Source organism: Homo sapiens, chromosome 12 (assembly GCF_000001405.40).
Source record: "Homo sapiens chromosome 12, GRCh38.p14 Primary Assembly".
Lineage (NCBI taxonomy): Eukaryota > Metazoa > Chordata > Mammalia > Primates > Hominidae > Homo > Homo sapiens.
Genome location: NC_000012.12, coordinates 69,536,599 through 69,558,338, shown reverse-complemented (window position 1 = coordinate 69,558,338; position 21,740 = coordinate 69,536,599). Strand labels below are relative to the sequence as shown.

Below are 21,740 nucleotides of genomic sequence, written 5' to 3'. Positions count from 1 at the left end.
GGCAGAAAATTGAGATTACATACAAGAAGAATTTAACTTAACATTGGTAAGAAAACAATTAATAGTGTTTTACTGTCTGTGATGTCCAAAGTCTAACCTTCAAGGCACAACATCCATTTATAAACATTCCCCCGACAGCAACTGGACTTGCAGTGTCACTGTACAATGACCTGAACGTCAGATTCCCTCTTCCCTTCTAGACCCAGAAAACTCACACACTTTAACCCCATATCTCACAGTGAATCTGACAAAGTCCCTTTTAATCATGTATTTTGTTTTTTAGGAACAGAAATCCAACAATATATATATAGAGATTCATTTGTTTGTGTGTAAAACAACACACACACACATATATATAAAACAATTTTGTGTGGGTATTTGGCAAATACTAAGAAAATGTTACTAAAATAGTTTGCTAAAAAACTAGCTTTTTAAAAAAAGAAAAAGCTAAAATGGAAGATGATACAAAATACTATCTCTACCTTTAGTAGTGTTGGTCATAACTCTATCCTGGAGTCATTGTTAATCTTGGTACGTATCTATAGGAAGAAACACTGGTGATGAAATTTAGACAATTAAATTGGAGCGCCCATAATGTCTGCCCTAAGATATGTGCAAATCCAGCAGATGAGTCACTCTGTCTTAGCTAATTCAATAAGGTCATTAGTACCAAGGGCAACAATCCTAGCGTGCATGCACCTGCGCGCGCGCGCGCGCGCACACACACACACACACACACACACAATCAACCTTCAGAACTCTCAAAGAAACTCTTAGTTTAGTATAAAAACATATACAGGGAAATCAAATACCATCCTCTAGCAACACCAAAAGGATGAACATTCTATATGAGCAATCACACAGCTCTCTCCACTAAAAATTCACAGATCGCACCACAGAAAGCAAAGGTGTGTGCTTTTAAGGTAGCAGTAAGAAAGTAGAGGTACTCTCTAGAAAACGATTATCATTAACTCTGAAAATCTGAATGAATAGATTTGATCTCATAGAGTCAGTGCATTCAGTTTTCTGTAAACATTGTAGATCAAAATTCCATGTTTTTATTCTTTAGCTCAGTGATAATTTCTATGTATTAATCTTACAACTGTGTCAAATTAATAAAGGGTCACTTAACCTTCATAATAAACCTCTAGTTTAGAAATTTACTAATAAACACTAATCCCTTAGCAGGGACAGAACTCTAGCATAATAAATACTTAACTTATGAAAAACACATATATAAAATCTTTAACCCAATACCCATTTACTAAAAAATACTGTGAAATTCAAAGGAATTGTTATTTCCCAAATAAATGCCAAGTTGTTCTTAATGTAATCACTGAGTAACTTAAAATCAATTCAGTTTTTTCTATTACACTCATGTTTATAGACAATGAAGTTTTTACTAAACTGAGCAACTGTAGGAGGTAAAACCACAGTACGAATTTTATAATATTTTCCTTAATATGGTATACCTAATAGTTCTTAAAAAGCATTTGGCTTCATGGCTTTATTTTTTAAAACAACAAAATTTAAATCCAAGTCACTCTAATTTCAAGATTCATGTTAAATACACGAACTAATATTATTCAAACCATAAACATCAATAAAACACTAAAAGACACGTAAGAAAATCCCTAGGCATCTTCACTTTTTATATATGATACTTTAACCTAGAACTAAATAAACATTAATGTTGGATAACAGAAAAGTAAGCAAAAGCTGGTCACGATGGCTCACGCCTGTAATCCCAGCACTTTGGCCAAGGCAGGCAGATCACTTGAGGTCAGAAGTTCAAGACCAGTTTGGCCAACACAATGAAACCCCGTCTCTATACAAAAATTAGCCGGGTGCGATGGTACATGCCTGTAGTCCCAGCTACTCAGGGGACTGAGACATGTGAATCGCTTGACCCTGGGAGGTGGAGGCTGCAGTGAGCTGAGATCTCGCCATTGCACTCCAGGCTTGGTAACAGAGTGAGACTTAAAAAAAAAAAGAAAGAAAGAAAGAAAGAAAAGTAAATTAAAAGATATTTTTCAAAACTGAATATAGAAATGTATAAGCACAATTTACTATAAATCTGTATTTCCAAACTCAGTTGGATATGATGTTACTAGACTAATATTAAAAGTCTAAATATGGGCCAGGTGTGCTGGCTTACGCCTGTAATCCCAGTACTTTGGAAGACTGAGGCAGGAGGATTGCTTGAGGCCAGGACTTTGAGACCAGCCTGTGCAACATAGCAGGACATCATCTCTAATTTTTTTTTAAAGTCTAATATTGACTATGTGCACATGAAATGTGTATACCATGTGTACACCGCCCCCCCCCCCGCCACACACACACTGATCAAAAGAAGCTATGCCAAATGCCAAGCAACTATAACCCCCAAAACAAACTGTTTCACAAATAGCTCATTTAAATGTTTCTGCATTTAAATCAACCTAAAATATTGTTAAATATATTCTCAAAGAAAACTAAATTTGCCTATTTATTCTCTACTTCTAGAGCAGTGCACTCAAAATAACTGTTACAATCTAACACACCCGATTCAAGTATCCCACTAATAAAAATGTTTGTTCTGTATAGTCATCCCTTGGTGTATCTGGGTATTGGTTCCAGTGCCTCTGTATGGACCAAAACACGTGCACACTCAAGTGCCACAGTCATCCCTGTGGAATCTGTGTGTATGAAAAGTCAGCCCTTTGTATATGGAAATTTCGCATCCCACAAATACTTTCTGGTTGACAAAATCCATCTATAAGTGGATCCATACGGTTCAAACCCTGTGTTGTTAAAGGGTCAATTGTATATACGTTTTGTAACATTCCCCCTCATGAAATGCCAACAACAAAAAGTTTACCAGAAAAGTTTGCATCCGAGCACATCTATCCCTGTGATTAACTTTTATAGAGCTCTTAAAATAAGTATTGTTCAAAAGCTATTTAATGACAAAGACAAAATGTTCATGATATAAAATTAAGTATAAGAAAAAAGGGCTGGGCACAGTGGCTCATGCCTGTAATCCAGCACTTTGGGAGGCTGAGGCGGGCAGATCACCTAAGGTTAGGAGTTTGAGACCAGCCTGGCCAACATGATGAAACCCCCATCTCTACTAAAAATACAAAAATTAGCCAGGCATGGTGGCACATGCCTGTAATCCCAGCTACTCGGGAGGCTGAGTCAGGAGAATTGTTTGAGCCTGGGAGGCAGAAGTTGCAGTGAGCTGAGATTGCGCCACTGCACTCCAGCCTGGGTGACAGTGAGACTCCGTCTCAAAAAAAAGAAAAACGAAAAAAGGTAAAAAAAAATATTATTAAAAAAAATAAAGCTGGGCTGAGCACGTGGTTCACACCTACAATCCCAGCACTTTAGGAGGCCAAGTAGGGAGGACTGCTTGAGCCCAGGAATTCAAGATCAGCCTGGGCAACTTAGTGAGATCCTGTCTCTACAAAAAAAAAAAAAAAAAGTTAGCTGGGCGTGGTGGCGAATGCCTGTAATCCCAGCTACTGGGGAGGCTGAGGTGAGAGGATCGCTTGAGCCCAGGAGGCCAACAGTGCAGTGAGCTGTGATCATGCCACTGCACTCTAGCCTGGGCAACAGTGTAAGACACTGTCTCAAAACAACAACAAACCACTAAATGCAATATGTATCCCTAGGTTGGATCCTGGAACAGAAAAAGAACATTAGAAAAACAGAAGAAATGTAAATAGTCTGTAGTTTAGTTAATAGTATTGTACTAGTATTAATTTCTTAGTTTTGACAAATATGTCACGGTTATGTAAGATGTTAACATTAGGGGAAGCTAGGTGAAGGGTATATGGGAATCTCTGTACTATCTTTGCAACTTAACATTCTAAAATTATTCTACAAAATTTTATTTTAAAAGTTGCTCTTCACACCCAGTAGCAAACTTGAGAGGATTTGCATTTTTACAAAATAATGTTTTACACCTATTTTTCTCTCCCCTACCTCCACATAAAATACATAAACCCACAAAAAGAGACTAGATGAACACACCCTAAAATGTTAACACTGATTAATTTGGTGGTAGAATGAAAAGGATTTTTTCTTTTTATGTTTTCTAGTGTTTGAATAGCTTTTATAATCAATGAATTATTAACTAAAGAAAATACAAATCAATACTTACTGAAGGGTTCTTTAGAAACAAAAGCTGTAAGTGTCTAAGCAGAGCCCAAAAGCAGACTACATACAAAACACGTTTGGGCAGACTGTGAAGAACACAGTGGCCAAGGGAAACTGCCAGGAGCATTTAAGTAGGGAAACTCTAATGAGTAAATGCTGGAAACCTGCCAACAAGCAGAACTTAACATCTACTCTCAGGTTAAAGTGCCTGAGGCCAACAAGCTATGCTCAAAATTCACATCTTAGGGGAATGAATGTCTTGAAAAGCCCCCAATACTATGAATTCATGGAGACACACAGCCTGGGTTTACTTCAAACATAAATAATGCAGCTGGACACCTGGTATGCAACTGCCCACTGAGAACTCCTAGAGACAGTCTTCAGTACCACAATATGTTCCCAAAGTTTTTCTTCCCTACTTCTTTCCTAACACCTCCCTACCACCTACGCCCATTCCTTAGCCCTAAGGCCTAAAAATGGCACCCTGGTGCCATCTAGCAACATGGGTAGAATTATCTAGGTCTAGAGACCACTGGAATTACAGAATCAAATCCTATTTCAGATGTGTAACAGATGCCTCCCAAAAGTTGTTTTTTTTTTTCCTGATACTTTCAAGGAAAAATACGTTCTAGTAATTCCATTAAGCCATAAGAAGGGAAAATTTAATCAACAATATTCTCCAATCAAAATTTAAAGGTACAATCATATTGTCCCTTAAAGAAAGTGCTAGTGGAATCAGATTACATTTTGATAAGAAATTTCTTCTAAGCTGTAATCAGCGTAACTGACATAGGTTGCAAGCTCCTCCTAAAATAGCTCCAAGTGGGCCAGGCGCAGTGGCTCATGCCTGTAATCCCAGCACTTTGGGAGGCTGAGGCAGGCGGATCATGAGGTGAGCAGTTCGAGACCATCCTGGCTAACACAGTGAAACCCCGTCTCTACTAAAAATACAAAAAATTAGCCGGGCGTGGAGGTGGGCGCCTGTAATCCCAACTACTCGGGAGGCTGAGGCAGGAGAATCTTGTGTACCTGGGAGGCGGAGGTTGCAGTGAGCCGAGATTGTGCCACTGCACTCCAGCCTGGGCAACAGAGTGAGACTGAGACTCCGTCTAAAAACAAAAACAAAAACAAAAACAAAAATAGCTCTAAGTGGCCTGTTCTGAGTTTTGTGTTATTTTTAAAAAATAATTTTTAATTATTTGTTTATGGGTCACTCATTCTCAGCACAAAGTACAGTAAGTCCTAGAACCACCACTTAATAAACATTTATATGCATTCCTTTTTAGTTTACTTTTTTTTTTTTTGAGATGGAGTCTCGCTCTGTCACCCAGGCTGGAGCGCAACAGTGCGATCTTGGCTCACTGCAACCTCTGCCCCCTGGGTTCAAGCAATTCTCCTGCCTCAGCCTCTCAAGTAGCTGGAATTACAGGCATGCGCCACCACGCCCAGCTAAGTTTTGTATTTTTAGTAGAGACAGGGTTGCACTATGTTGTCCAGGCTGGTCTTGAACTCCTGACCTCAGATCTGCCCACCTCAGCCTCCCATAGTTTACTCTTTTGAATCCCTGTGGACTCTGTAATAAGATACCTAGGATTAACTTAATGAACTACAAAATAAGACACTACACTCAGAGGCAAAGGGATCTTGTAAGTTTAAGTACCTGGCCTTTACTTCATGAGTTCTGTAACAGTGATTTTAAGCATCAGAAGCCTTTGTTTCTTACTTTCCAGTTCTTGGTTGTGTTTAAGAAAGTAGAGGCTACCTACCAAAAAAGTGATCCTCAGGTATGGTGGTCACTGTACTGTTATTGTTGTTATTTTGAATATTAATAGACATATATCCTGTTTTTAATCAAAGCTGAGACATGATTTTTTTTTTTTTTTTTTTTTTTTTGAGACGGAGTTTCGCTCTTGTTGCCCAGGCTGGAATGCAATGGCATGATCTTGGCTCACTGCAACCTCCGCCTCCCAGGTTCAAGCAATTCTCCTGCCTCAGCCTCCCGAGTAGCTGGGATTACAGGCATGCACCACCATGCCCGGATAATTTTGTATTTTTAGTAGAGACGGGGTTTCTCCATGTTGAGGCTGGTCTCGAACTCCTGACATCAGGTGATCTGCCCGCCTTGGCCTCCTAAAGTGCTGGGATTACAGGCATGAGCCACCGTGCCCGGCCAGAGATGACTGATTTTAAGACTGATATTTTATATACCACTGAGAAAGAAAAAAAGTCAATTTAACTGTAATATGCCACTAATTGTAAGACACACCCAAATTTTAGTGAATAAAATTGGAAAATGTTTCTTAGGATCCATAAAACATGCCATACAGTCAATGAAAGAACTATCAACACATTACAAATAACAGAAATGAAAAGTTGTTTGGACCATCTTTTCTTTACTCCTTCCCAGATGTTGAAGATAGTTACTATCAAGTGGTAGGATTCCAGAGCATCCACGACTGATGTGATGTTCTTTTGAGCCCTTCTTAAATACTGATCTAAAAAACAATCTCATAATGCAGACTGCTGGGAACTATTTTCCCCATTTTTCAATAGGGAAATGAAGGTGAAGAAATCAATCAAAATTTTACTAGAAGCCAAATTTAGAATGTTCAGTTTTCCTCTCTACCACATTAACAAAGCCAATATGCATCCTTCCTCTAAAGGTTTCATGGTCTGCTTTCCTTCATATTTATCTGGATCTTAATTTAAACATATATCAATCTTCCATGGTGAAGGTAATTCTGAAGAGCCACATTCATAACTACACTTGAGCTCATCCCTCTGAAAACAACTTACAATAACATATAATTACTGGTAGTTGGGTTTGTTTGTTTGTTTGTTTTGAGACAGGGTCTCGCTCCATTGCCCAGGCTGCAGTGTAGTGGGGCGATCAAAGCTCACTGCAGCCTTAACCTCTTGGGCTCAAGTGATCCTCCCGAATCAGCCTCCCAAAGTAGTTAGGACTACAGGCGTATACCACCACACCCAGCTAATTTTTTAAATGTTTTGTAGAGACAAGGTCTCACAATGTTGCCCAAGGGGTCTAGAACTCCCGGCCTCAGGCAATACTCCTGCCTCGGCCTCCCAAAGTGCTGGGATTTGAAAGCAACTTTGAGAATATTTCTTTCTTCCTTTCTTTTTTCTTTTTTTTAAAGACACATGTGAAGAGAACAAATCTCAACAAAAAACAGCTGAAATTTCTAAGAAGATGTTTTATTCCGTCATACTCTCAAAATGTTTCTTCACCAATACTGGCTGAAAAGCTGTGTACTTTAAATAATCTTTTTAAAAAGACTTAGAATTATCTTTGAAAGGTCTTTGAACTTAATTCAACAGCTACAAAGAATATTGGTTTCCTATAATTATGTACATAAAATACTCATGTTGAAGCCTTAAAGTTTTAAATTTTCCACATGTAAATTACAAAACTGTATTCCCAGAAATGATTCATCCTTCTAAATAGAAAGTGCAGTATGGCTCAGGTGAGGTTTTAATCCTCATGTAATTGACAAATGGCATACAATATCTCTGCTATCTAAATGTACTTTAAACACTACATTAGAATTTAAAATGAAAGGCTTTGGTGGTATTGTATGTTTTGAGACAGGTCTTGCTCCACCGCCCAGGCTGGTATTATTGGAGATAATGTCTTCTGGAGAAATTTAGAATGCTAAAAACAAAGCCTTTCATTTTAGACTTAGTTAAAATATGTAAGACACTAGAGAGATCTGAGTTCTTACTTAACTTCTCTGAATCTGTATTTCCTCACAGGTTGAGTTAAAAATATTTCCTACCAACACTCCCTACACTTCATATGGTTTTTGCAGGTTTGGAAGTGGTTGTTGCATGCAATAACTATGAGGACTGAATTAAGTTACTAAACAATGAAGATGGAAAAAAATAAAAGGATGGATTAGAGTGATACTTAAGTGCTAGCCTTAATAACACCTGATGATTGATTAGACTGGGAAGGAAAGCAGGAGTCAAGGAAAATACATTTTTAGTTGAGGTTGACAGTACATACATTGAGCCAGGGAACATAGGAAGGACACAAGATTTAGAAAAACATAAGCTCAGTTTTGAATGTACTTTGATGTCTGTGAGACATCCAAATGGAGATGCTCAACAAATAGAAATACAGGTGTGGAGATGGGAGAGAGATTTGGGAGCCATCAACTTACGGATCCAAGCATACGGACAGATGAGACTGCCCAGTGTGAAGAAAAGTAAGACCTACAGCAGCTCAGAAACACCAACATCTAAAGGAATTGTGAAAAAAGCCCACAAGGAGACTGGACATTCACTCTCCAAGAAACAAGAGGACAACCCCCAAGAGTGTGGTATCACAGAAGCCTAGGGGAAGACTGAGGCAAGGTGAGATGGGACAGAAAGAACACTGTTGAATCAATAAGGTAAGACTGTAGAAACCAGTGTGGAGAAGAAAATATTTAGCAATATGGAAGAGCAGAACAGAGACAGACAATTGTCTTCAAATTTCCATCTTATGGAATAATAGGCTTGATTTGCTCCTGAAATAGGAGACAGACCAAACCACAGAAGTCTATGCAAATGGAACAAACTTCTATCTGCCCAACAAAGAACTGAGTTCCCTTTAAATGCTGAGTTCCCAATCACTGACAGTGTTTCAGTAGAGTCCATTACTGGTTAAGAAGTGTGATGTTGTCTCTAAAAACAAAATGAATTAAATACGCAAAATTAACCACAACAAAGTTAGACGTGATGATTTGAGCTTTTTTTTCAATTGAAATAAATTTCAAGGACTAAACTAAATCTGAACTACTTTACATTAAAGGGAACAAAAAGACACAACAAAACAGCTTTTAAATACTTAAATATAAAGCATATTTCTTAAGTTATTATTTCTGAAGTTATAAAATATTATATTCAATTAATTCTAAGTAAAACACATAAAAAAGATAAAAAGCATTTTTAACTTTGTAAGTCCAAAGTAAAACATTTAATATGATATAAAACCTCTAAAGACTTCACGAAATTTTATGGTTGATTTTTAGCTGTACTAATTCTGTTTAATGTCATTAAAACCTACCCAACTGAGTTTTTATAACTTTCTACCACTAAATAATTATGTTCTTCATTTCTCTATTTTTAAACTTGAAGCACATAAGTGTATTTGTTTGTTTTAAGGTAGGGCTTAAAAGTTATCTGTAATGCTGTATATTTTCCATTTGACCCTCCAAAGCCACTCTCTTACCTTCTCTACTCTACTCTGCACCCTAGGAGCCTCACCTGCATGGAGGCACCAGCAGACCAGATTGGCTGTGGTTCCCTTCCTTACTGAGGTTCTAGTAATGGCCCCTGTTAGGCAGCTCTCTCACATACTTATAGCTCTTGCTGATTCAGGTAACCACTTCTTCTCTCTGTCCCCTTTTGGACACCTAGGAGTGTTAAGAGCTGTTCCTAACAGCCTGGTGTTCCCAGCAAACCTGGCCAATATCACTTGCTGATTTCCCTTAACCTGCCCATAATGTGTAACTAATCCCTTTATTAAATTCTTTTCCATTACAGGGTTCCTGCCAGAACCCTGATTTAAGCAGCTGTTACTGATGTTTTCAATACAGTAATTATATATTACACTATAATCAGTGGAAAAGATACCTTATGAGAAAAGAACCACGATCAACAGCTTTTACATTTCTTAGTCAAACCAACTAAACTCCTAAGAATCAAAAATAAAAGTTACCAACCTAAAAATGTTTGAGAAGGAATTACTTACACATTTCATTAAGATTAATATCCAAAAATCTTGCAGTCATCCTTCACACCTTACTCTCTCACATCCCATATCCAATCCATCAATCCTTTCAGATGTATCTTCAAAATATATCCAAGTTCAACTACTGCTTACCATTTCGAAACTATTACTTCTCTGGTCCAAGTTACCAACATTTCTTTATGAATTTTTCCAACAGCCTTCTAATTGGTCTTTGCCTCTGATTGTCCTGCTCTAGTCTTTTATCAACACAGCAACCAGATTAATTCTGTTAAAAAGTATTAATACAGGAGCTTGGTGCAGTGGCTTACGCCTGTAATTTCAGCAACTCGGGAGGCTAAGGTGGGTAGATCACTTGGGGCCAGGAGTTTAAGACCAGCCTGGGCAACATCGCAAGAACCCATCTCTAAAAAATAATAATAAAAAAAACTTAGCCAGATGTGGTGGTATGCACCTGTAGTCCTAGCTACTTATTTATTAGGAGGCTGAGATGGAAGGATCCCTTGAGCCCAGAAGTCAGAGGCTGTGTGAGCCATGACTGTGCCATTGTACTCTAGCCTGGGTGAGAAAGCAAGACCCTGACTCACAAAAAAAAAAAAAAAAAAAAAAAAAAGTATTAATGGATACATTTTTCTAAAAATGGTAAAATTCATGACTTTGAAAAAACAGTAAAACAAACATATGTCAAAGATACAATTTAACTCATTAATAATGGAATTAGTAACATGTTACAACTGGTTCGGAACATTCCAAGAACTACACATACACAGGGAATAAGGAGTTCTGAAAGAAATTTACAAATAGATGCAAAACAGGCATATTCACAGGGCAGTAATCAACTGCATTCCACTGGGTATAATTTATATTTATTTCTATGAATAAGATTTAATTGCATTTTCTACTTTTTTATTGTGGTAAAATACACATAAAATTTACCATCTTAACTATCCATCATCCATCTCGTAATTCTTTTTTTCTTTTTGAGACAGGGTCTCACTCTGTCAACTAGGCAGGAGGGCAGTGATGTGACCATAGCTCACCTGCAGCCTTGACATCCTAGGCTCAAGGGATTCTCTCATCTCAGCCTCTCAATTAGCTAGGACCACAGGTACATCCCACCACGTGCAGTTAACTTTTTAATGTTTTGTAGAGGCGAGGTCTCACTATGTTGCCTAGGCTTCTTTTCATCTTGTAAAACTGAAACTCCACGGCCGTTAAACAGTAACTCCCTCCTCCCCCTATCCCCTGACAAAACCATTCTACTTTCTCTCTGATTTTGACTATACTACCTCCTTCACATAAGTAGAATCACATAGCATTTGTCTTTGTGTGACTGGCTTATTTCACTTTGCATAATGTCTTCAAGGTTCATCCATGTTGTAGCATATTACAGAATTTCCTTCCTTTTTAAGGCTGAATAATATTCCACTGCATGTATATACCACATTTTACTTATCCATTCATCTGTCAATGAACACTTGGGTTGCTTCCACCTTCGGCTACTTTGTACAAATAGATATGGGTGTACAAATACCTCAAGACCCTGCCTTCAGTTCTTTTGGGTATACTCAGAAGTTGAATTGCTGCATCATATGGTAATTCTGTTTTTAATTTTTTGAGAAACAGCCATACTCTTTTCCACAGAAACTGTACCATTTTATATTCTCACCGACAGTGCATAAGGTTTCCAATTTTTCCACGTCCTCACCAACATTTGTTACTTTCTATTTTTTAAAAAATAGTAGCCATCCTTGGCCAGGTGCAGTGGCTCACACCTGTAATCCCAGCACTTTGGGAGGCTGAACCAGGTGAAACTTGAGGATAGGAGTTCAAGACCAGCCTGGACAACAGGGTAAAACCCCATCTCTACTCAAAATACAAAAATTAGCCGGGCATGGTGTCACATGCTTGTAATCCCAGCACTTTGGGAGGCCAAGGTGAGCAGATCACTTGAGGCCAGGAGTTCAAGACCAGCCCAGGTAACATAGCAAAACCCTGCCTCTAATAAAAATACAAAAATTAGCCAGGTGTGGTGGTGCACACCTATAGTCCCAGCTACTTGGGAGGCTGAGACGTAAGAATCACTTGAATCTGGGAGGGGGAGGTTGCAGTGAGCCGAGATCACACCACTGCGCTCCAGCCTGAGCAATACAGCGAGACTCTGTCTCCAAAAAAAAAAGTAGCCATCCTAATGAGTGTGAGGGTAGTATCTCACTGTATTTCTGATTTGCATTTTTCTAATAATTGGTGATGTTAAACATCTTTTCATATGCTTACTGGCCTTTGTATATCTTCTTTGGTGTAATGTCTATTCAAGTCCTTGGCCCATTTTTAAATTAGTTTTTGGTTTTGAGTTTCAGAAGTTTTTTCTTGTATTGTCTGTGCCTTTGGTGTTACATCCAAGATACCACTGCCAAATCCAATGTCATGAAGCATTCGCCCTACATTTCCTTACAAGAGTTGTATACTTTTGATTCATTTTAAGTTAATTTTTGTATATGGTGCTAGGTGAAGATCCAACTCCATTATTTTGTATGTAGATATCCAGTTTCTCCAGCATCACTTGTTGAAGAGACTGTTCCTTTCCCATTGAATAGTCTTGGCACCCTTGTCAAAAATTATTTGACCATATATGCAAGTGTTTATTTCTGGGTTTTTGTTTTTGTTTTTTTTTTTTTTTTTTTTTTTGAGACAGGGTCTCACACTGTCGCCCAGGCTGGAGTGCAGTGGCACGATCTCAGCTCACTGCAACCTCCATCTCCTGGGTTCAAGCAATTCTCCTGCTCAGCCTCTCGAATAGCTGAGATTACAGGCGTCTGCCACCACACCCAGCTAATCTTTTGTATTTTTAGTAGAGACAGGGTTTCAACATGTTGGCCAGGCTGGTCTTGAACTCCTGACCTCATGATTCACCCACCTTGGCCTCCCAAAGTGCTGGGATTACAGGTGTGAGCCACAACATCGGTCTATTTCTGGGTTCTCTGCTCTATTCCATTGGGCTATATGTCTGCCTAAATTTATGCCAATACCATGCTGTTTGATTACTGTAGCTTTGTAGTTAAGTTTTTAAATCAGGAAGTGTGAGTCACCAGCTTTCTTCTTCTTTTTCAAGATTGTTTTAGCTATTGAGAGTCCCTTGATATTCCATATGAATTGCAGAATGGGCGTTTCTAATTTTGCAAAACTCATCATTGTGGTTTTGATAGGAATGGCATGATTCTGTAGATTATTTTTAGTATTCACATCTTAACAATATGAAGACTTCCAATCCATGAAAATCAGATGTTTATCATTTATTTAATTTCTTTGAGCAATGTTTCATAGTTTTCATTGTAAAAATCTTTCACTTCTTTGGTTATTTGTATTTTATTCTTTTTGATGCTATTGTAAATGAAATTGTTTTCTTAATTTCTTTTTCATATTGTTGTTAGATGAAAATGCTGACTCTTCAGGGTTTTCTATGTACAGGATCATATCATCTATAAACAGAGACCACTTTACTTCTTTCCAATTTGGATGCCTTTTCTTTTTCTTGCCTAATTGCTCTGGATGGAATATCCAGTATGATATTTAATAGAATTGGTGAAAGTGGGAATTCTTGCCTTGTTCCTGATCTTAGAGGAAAATCTTTTCAGTCTTTCACCACTGAATATGACATTCACTGTATTTTTCATATATGGCTTTTACTACGTTGAAATAGTTTCCTTTTATTTATTTATTTATTATTAATTTTTTTTCCGAGATGGAGTCTTGCTGTCACCCAGGCTGGAATGCAGTGGCATGATCTCGGCTCACTGCAACCCCCTCCTCCCGGGTTCAAGTGATTCTCCTGCCTCAGCCTCCTGAGTAATTGGAATTACAGGTGCGCACCACTATGCCCAGCTAATTTTTACATTTTTAGTAGAGATGGGGTTTCACCATGTTGGCCAGGCTGGTATCAAACTCCTGATCTCAAGTGACTCACCCACCTCAGCCTCCTCAAAGTGCTAAAATTACAGACATGAACCACTGCACCTGGCTCCTTTTACTTCTAGTTTTAGTGTTTTTTTAAATCATGAAAGAATGCTGAATTTTGTCAAATGTTTTTTCTGCATCAATTGACACAATCATGTGGTTTTCTCCCATTCATTCTTTTAATGTGTATATTACATTGAACAATTTTCATATGTTGAACCATCCCTGCATTCCAGGAATAAGACGCACTTGATCATAGTATATAATCCCACTGATATGCTGCTGAATTTGGTTTTGTTGAGGATTTTTACATCAATGTTTATGATTCAATTGCATTTTTAAGAAGTTTTCTGTTAAGTTCCAGTACTCTTAAAAAAAAAAAAAAGAAAGCCTCCCCACCCCCCCGACCCTGCCCACAAAATGAGACAGAGATAAACTCAATGGCTGAGCTAGACAGGACACCCATTTGTCATTTTTTGTCCACTTCAAAGTGGTTCACAATTTATCCTGACAAAGGCCTGCAATGGCTCCCCCTATTCCTCTGAGAATAAAAATTAAGGATTTTTCAATGGTCTCTATGAGATCCTAATTTTTTAGTATCATTTTCTGCCTCTCCTGTTCCACTACTGATCATGTACCTTAAAATTCTTCTCTCTCCATACTCTGCTCCAGCCACAGTGGCCTCCTTGCTGTTTCTAGAATACACTAATTATGTTCCTATCTCAGGTCCTTTGCAACTACTGTTCTTTGTACCTGGAATGCTTTTCTATCTGGTATCAGCATAGCTTGCTCCTTCACTTGCTTCAGGTTTTTGCTCACAAATCAATTTATTGAAGAATTTTCCTGAGCACACTACATATGAAATAGATAAACCCTTACCCACTAGCCCATGATGCTACACCCTTTTCCTCTTTCCCTACTACATCATTCTCCAAATGACTTACCACCAAGTGGCATACTACATATTGACTTGTTTTTTTATTCCCTAGCTCTTCACTCCAATGCCACCACAAAACGTAAACTCCATAGTGACAAAGATTTTGTTTTGTTCAACGAAATATCCTTGGTGCCTGAAGAATGCCAGACAGATATTAAATGCTTAATAAGTTTTAGTTGAATGAATAATCTCAGATATTGTTTAAAAATAGCAACATAAGTATTCATAAAATTTGTTCCTGAATTTCTGCAATGTGCAAACATATCAATAAAACTACAACCAAATGCTTTTACATTTTTACTTATTAACATATGTTACTTAATAGTTACTTATTGAGATGACTTGTAAAAATGGGGCTCAAAATTATCACTTAGATTTGTCTGTAAACTGACAGCTATCTCATGAAAAATATGGAATTTAAGATACAGTATCACAAAATTTCTTTTAGAAGCAATGCTACCATGTTGTTATCAATGTGAGCAAGTATACTCATAAGACTGAGGTAGTACCTGATGTTTTCCTTTTTGTACTATAGATTCAAAAACTGTCATTTGCATTATAGTTATTATAGCAGATGTAACTCCTGAAGACACTATCTAGGTAAGTTAACTGCCTAAGAGTCATTATCCAAGCCACATTATTTCCTCCAAGCTAGCTCATTCTTTGACGTTTTGCAGTCCTGGGATGAGCCTGGGTGAAGGTGAAGATACTCTAGGATTGAAACAACTGTTTATATTGGATTTCTCATCCTACAGCTTTTCCTAAGCTCTTTTAATTTCTAACATTAAAAGGTACTTAATATTAACTAGAATTTACTTTGAATATACTTGAACTATCTGCCATATGCAATTCCAACACCAACATCTTTGGTCTACTGAGTTATTTCAGCGAAAATAGAAACATGGTTACATATGGTTGGAAGGTACAAGTTTGGAACATCACAGACCAATGAAATAATGGTTTAGCTACAAACAATATTAGTTTAAATATTTTCTTTCTTTACATAACCTGATTCATTAAAAATCTGTTTGAAAAAATAAAGAATTTTAGAGCTAGTCTTTTTTCTTCTTTATACTTTTTTCCTGCATACTTTAAATAACCTCTAGATTACTTACAAATGCTATCTAAATAGTTGTTATGCTGTATTTTGTAATATTTTTTATACTGCTTTCTATTTCAAATAATTTCAATCTGTGGCTGATTGAATTTGCAGGTGTGGAACCTATGGATACGAACGACCAACTATAAATCAAAGACAAAGGCATCATGAAGTAAGGTTTTAAATTCCTCTAGTTGATAAGGCTGAACCTGTTTAAGATTGGGTCTGACAGCACGCACATTTTCACTTTTTAATTAGAATGCTGCAAATTAATATGTTTGTTATACTAAGTATGTCTGTCAGTAAAGAAAAATATTCAGAACATAACCCCCCGCCACCTATATCTGGTTGTAGAGGCAATAAATGCTCTTAATATATGGCCCTGATAATATCTGCTTTAATAATAAAAAGATAATAAAATCATCTTTCGAGTGTGTGAGGAAAAATTATTCTGAAAATGGAGAAATAACTTATTTGAAACCAGTATCTCCCTTTAAATTATAAAAAATTTGTTAGAATTACATCAAAGAATAAGAAGACTTTTTACATAAAGTTATTAGATTTATATCAAAACTACTTCCCCTGAATTACAATAATACAGTGTTACTTTTTTTTTTTTTTTTTTTTTTGAGACAGGGTCTCACCCTGTCGCCCAGGTTGGAGTGCAGTGGTGCAATCTCGGCTCACTGCAACCTCCACCTCCAGGGCTCAAGTGACCATCCTGCCTCAGTCTCCCGAGTAGCTGGGACTACAGACATATGCCACCGCATGTGGCTAATTTTTGTATTTTTAATAGTGAAGGAGTTTCGCCATGTTGCCAGGCTGGTCTCAAACTCCCAGGCTCAAGTGATCCACTTGCCTCAGCTTCCTAAAGTACTAGGATTACAGGTGTGAGCCACTGCACCTGGCCCAGTGTTACTTTTGTACCAGTAACTATACTAGAATAGACTAACTGGGCCTAATAATATTAATGCTATATTCTTTATTTTTACAGAGTAGGCCAAACACACATACACACGCTTCCTTCAGTTAAATTATACATTCTAAGGTACAGTGTCAGTATTTTCATAAGAATTTTGTTTACCCTGAAGTTTAAAAATTTGAAATATTAAAGAAGTTAAGATTTTAATAAACACAACTTTCTACCATTTGTGTGAGTAGGCCTTCAGATGGCAGCAAATGCAACATAATAAATGTTGGGCCTGTTTGTAAGAACTGGTTATCTGATATCCTCCTTTACTAAATTTTTTAAAACATGGGTTGCTCCCGGGGAAATATGCATTCAAGAGTGGGATGCGATCTAAAATCTAATAAAAGTTGCAAAGTATGTGACTTCTAGGTTTAAAAAAATTCTTGAGGGACTCAGTTTTGTGGTTTTTTAAAAAAACAAACTTCATTACATTTAGTCATCATGTCTCTTAAGGATCCTCTTGGCAGTAATGGTTTTTCAGATTTTTCTTGTTTTTGATAATCCTGACCATTTTCAGGAGCACCTGTAAAGTATTTTGTAGAATGCCTCTCCTCTCTTGGAATTTGATGCTTTTCTCATAATTAGACTGGGAGTATGGGATTTGGACAGGAGGATCACAGAGATAAAGTGCCACTTTTATCACAACATAGCCCTTGAAACACACTATCAACATGACTTATCACTGTTGATGTTACCCCTGACAACCTACCTGGCTGTCAGGTTTCTCCACTGTGAAGTTACTTCTCCCCGAACTCTTCTGCACTTCTTGGAAGTACTGTACTTCTTGGAAGAAAGGCATGCACAGCCCACACTTAAGGATTAGGGAGTTGTGTTTCACCATGAGGAAAGTGGAGTATTGACATACATTATTTGGAGTTCTTCTGTACAGATTTGTCTCTTCTCCATTTACTTATTTATTCAATCATTTATTCATTTATTCAATCATTTATTCATACCAGTATCAGCCCGTGGATATTTATTTTATACTCTGAGTTATAATTCAATACTACTTTATACTTTACTTATTTTCTTTTTCAAATTATTCCAACTTTGATCACTGTTAGCTCTTTTAGGTGACTCCTATGCCCCTTTGACATAGTCCCATTTTGTGGGTTTTTTGTTAAAGCCCTTCTTTACTTTTTTTTTTTGGCACTACAAGATGTTCTAAGCTGATCTTGTCTATTTTGTTATTTTTATTTTTTAATTTTTTTTAATTTTATTTATTTTTTTTGAGATGGAGTCTCGCTTTGTCGTCCAGGCTGGAGTGCAGTGGAGCCATCTCGGCTCACTGCAAGCTCTGCCTCCTGGGTTCATGTCACTCCTCTGCCTCAGCCTCCCTAGTAGCTGGAACTACAGGCGCGCACCACCACACCCAGCTAATTTTTTGTATTTTTAGTAGAGACGAGGTTTCACTGTGTTAGCCAGGATGGTCTCAATCTCCTGACATCATGATCCACCCGCCTCGGCCTCCCAAAGTGCTGGGATTACAGGCGTGAGCCACCACACCCAGTGTTTATTTTTATTTTTTTGAGACGGAGTCCCGCACTGTCGCCCAGGCTGGAGTGCAGTGGCACAATCTCGGCTCACTGCAACCTCCACCTCCTGGGTTCAAGTGATTCTCCTCCCTGAGCCTCCCGAGTAGCTGGGATTACAGGCGCCCGCCACCCTGCCCAGCTAATTTTTTGTATTTTTAGTAGAGACGGGGTTTCACCATGTTGGCCAGGCTGGTCTCGAACTCCTGACCTCGTGATTTGCCCGCCTTGGCCTCCCAAAGTGGATCTTGTCTATTTCTTGCCCTAGTCCTAGATTAAGCCATTTCTCCAAGGAACCCTGGTCCTTTTTAAAGGAGAAGGGTACAGATTCAGCATCCCTAACTGGAAAATTCTGAGAATTTTTGAGCACCAACATGACACCACAGGTGGAAAATTTCACACCTGACCTCACATGATGCGTGCACAAAATTATTTAAAATATTGTATAAATCACCTTCAGGCTATGTGTAAAGGCATATATGAAACATAAATTTTGTGTTTAGACTTGAGTCCCATCCCCAAGATATCTCATTATGTATATGCAAATACTTTGAAATCCAAAAAACCCCCTGAAATCCAACTGGGCACGGTGCTCACACCTGTAATCCCAGCACTTTGGGAGGCCAAGGTGGGCAGATCAAGAGGCCAGGAGTTCAAGACCAGCCTGGCCAGCATGGTGAAACCCCCATCTCTACTAAAAATACAAAAAATTTGCCAGGCATGGTGATGTGTGCCTGTAATCCCAGCTACTCGGGAGGCTGAGGCAGGAGAATCACTTGAACCTAGGAGGCAGAGGTTGCAGTGAGCTGAGATCATGCCACTGCACTCCAGCCTGGGCAACAGAGTGAGACTCTGTCTCAAAACAAAACAAAACAAAAACCTTGAAATCCAAAACACATCTGATCCCAAGCATTTAGGATAAGGATAAGGATAAGGATAATCAACTTGTATTAGAAACCAAGATTTGGGTTCTTGGTGTGCTCTTGCTACCGGGGTGTCATGGCATCTAGGAGGGCCTCTGTGTAACTAAATGTTATGTTATTTTGTGGAGAATTTGCATAACAAAATATAGAAATAAACTCATGGAGAATAGACTACGACTATGAAGTTGAAAGATTAATATAATTATAGATAGGGTATTATCACTTTTTATGAATGTGTTTTGAAAATAATGCATCTGAATAATATAAGGGAACCTAAATTTTTAAAAATATAAACTTAACACATGCCATTTTTGTTGCAAAGAGAAAAAGGTGACAAATGTATAATGTGAGGAATAAAAGAGGAAGTCCAATAGAATCCATCTTAATTCAAATGGACATGAAGTTAGTTGGATAAGGCAGGAAATTAAAACACACATACCACCCCCACACACACTCCTTACCTTAAACATTTTATTTTAGCTTAAACATATAAAAAGGCATGAATCATTTTATTTTAGCTTAAACATATAAAAAGGCATGAATCATTTTATTTTAGCTTAAACATATAAAAAGGCATGAATTTACCAAACTTAAGGCCAGGGCCTTTTTTTGTTAATGGGAGACCGCCGATTAGCATTCTGTATTATGTTTCTCATACAAACCTTACGTAAGTTGTATGTTATTTGAAATGGATCAAGGAATTCTATTTCTAGCAACATGGTAGGTTAGATGTCCAGACTGGCTCTACTGCTGGAATCTGCAATGCTTTATATATATATGTATATATATATATAATCTGCAATGCTATATATATATATATATATATATATAAAATTTGTTTTTTTAATTTTATTATTAAACATTTTCCTATTTTGGCACAAATGTAAAAAGCTACGAAAGGTGGCTCTTGACTTTAAGGTAATTTCATAATGCTGCTTAGAAAACTGCAGACTGCGGGAGACAGACTATATAGATCAAGACTGCCTTCCATACAGTTGCAAATCCCAAAATCCACAAAGTACAAATGAATGAGCAGTAAACCTACCTTGCAGAAGATGACAGCAAGTAAACTTGCCTGCTTGATCTTGATGATGGTAGAAAGAAGAAAATCTCCTGCAAGAATTTATAACTATAAGCCAGCTCTTAAATGAGTTTGTGGAGACGAAAAAGGATGAAAAGGCATAAGTAACATGAAAAATAGACTATATGTCTAATTAGAGTTATAGAAGGAGAAAATAAGAGGCATTATTCAAAGAGATAATGGTTAAGAATTTTCCACAATTATTCAAAGACATTATTATTATCCTCAGATCCAGGAAGCCCAAAGAATCCCAAGTGGGATTACAAAAAATAAAATGATGGAATGAAAAAAATAACGCCCTCAATACATTATACAAAACTGCAAAACACTAAATGGGAAGGAAAAAAAAAGGCTTAACACAGCCAAATAAAAGGGTTATTACTTACAAAGGAAGGGCAATTAAGACTTTTCAACAGCAATACTAGCAGTCAAAGTACTGGAATAATGTCTTCAATATCATGAGAAAACAGAATTCTACACACAGAGAAACTACCTTTCAAGAATGAAGATGAAATAAAGACATCTTTAAACAAAGAAAAAAGTGTCTGTTTCACCAAAGGATCTTCACTAAAGGAAATTCTAAAGAACGTACCTCAGGTAAAAAAAAAAATTATCATAGAAGAAAGGTCTCAGATCCAAAAAGGAACAATAAGCCAAGAAAACAGTAATTAGGTAAATAAATTTAAACAAAGGTTTACTACCTAAAACAGTAATTTGTCTAAAATTCTGTATGTGTGCATAAGAAGAATATGCCAAAACTAAGATAACAGACAACACTGTTACAGGTTGGGAGGAGGACAACCAGAGCATGCTAAGTTACTACATTATTCAGGAATAGGTTAAAGATACTGATTAATTGGACTTTCCTAAGAAAAGCATGTTAAAATAGCCAGAGCAACCACTAAAAGAATAAATAATATATTAATTATAAACAAGTATACATGCATGCAAGGTATGGAGAGGAGATGGAATGAGACAAATATATATGTCCAACTCAACACAAAAGACTGGCAAGAATGAGAGGAAGAATTGGATAAATAGAAAAACCACAGAAGGGGACAGAAATACACGTAAATCAGAGCTGGGCACGGTGGCTTACATCTGTAATTCCAACACTTTGGGAGGCTGAGGCAGTAGGAACACTTGAGTCCAGGAATTCAAGACCAACTTAAGCAACATAGTGGGATAACATCTCTAAAAAATTAAAAAATCAGCCCAGCACAGTAGCGCATGCCTGTGGTCCCAGCTACTTGAGAGGCTGAGGTGGGAGGATCGTTGAGTCCAGCAGATCGAGGCTAAAGGATCGTGCCACTGCACTCCAGCCTGGGCAACAGAGTGAGATCTTGTCT

At 37.6% G+C, this 21,740-nt stretch overlaps 1 protein-coding gene across 16 annotated transcripts in view; it reads right to left on the bottom strand.

Moving 5' to 3' along the window:
* The window catches only part of FRS2 (fibroblast growth factor receptor substrate 2), a 109,406-nt gene that overhangs the window by 21,455 nt on the left and 66,211 nt on the right, over window positions 1–21,740 (bottom strand). For 3 of the 16 annotated variants that reach the window (XM_017018718.2, NM_001278351.2, NM_006654.5), the window contains one exon: window positions 20,356–20,423. The exons of 9 other annotated variants lie outside the window; for them this stretch is intronic. The gene's annotated coding sequence lies outside the window, so the exon portion shown is untranslated. Of the gene's footprint in view, window positions 1–482; window positions 540–17,564; window positions 18,087–20,355; window positions 20,424–21,740 lie in introns of those variants that run through there. 4 more of the 16 variants (XM_017018717.2, NM_001278353.2, XM_047428118.1 and 1 more) reach the window with 4 other exon arrangements.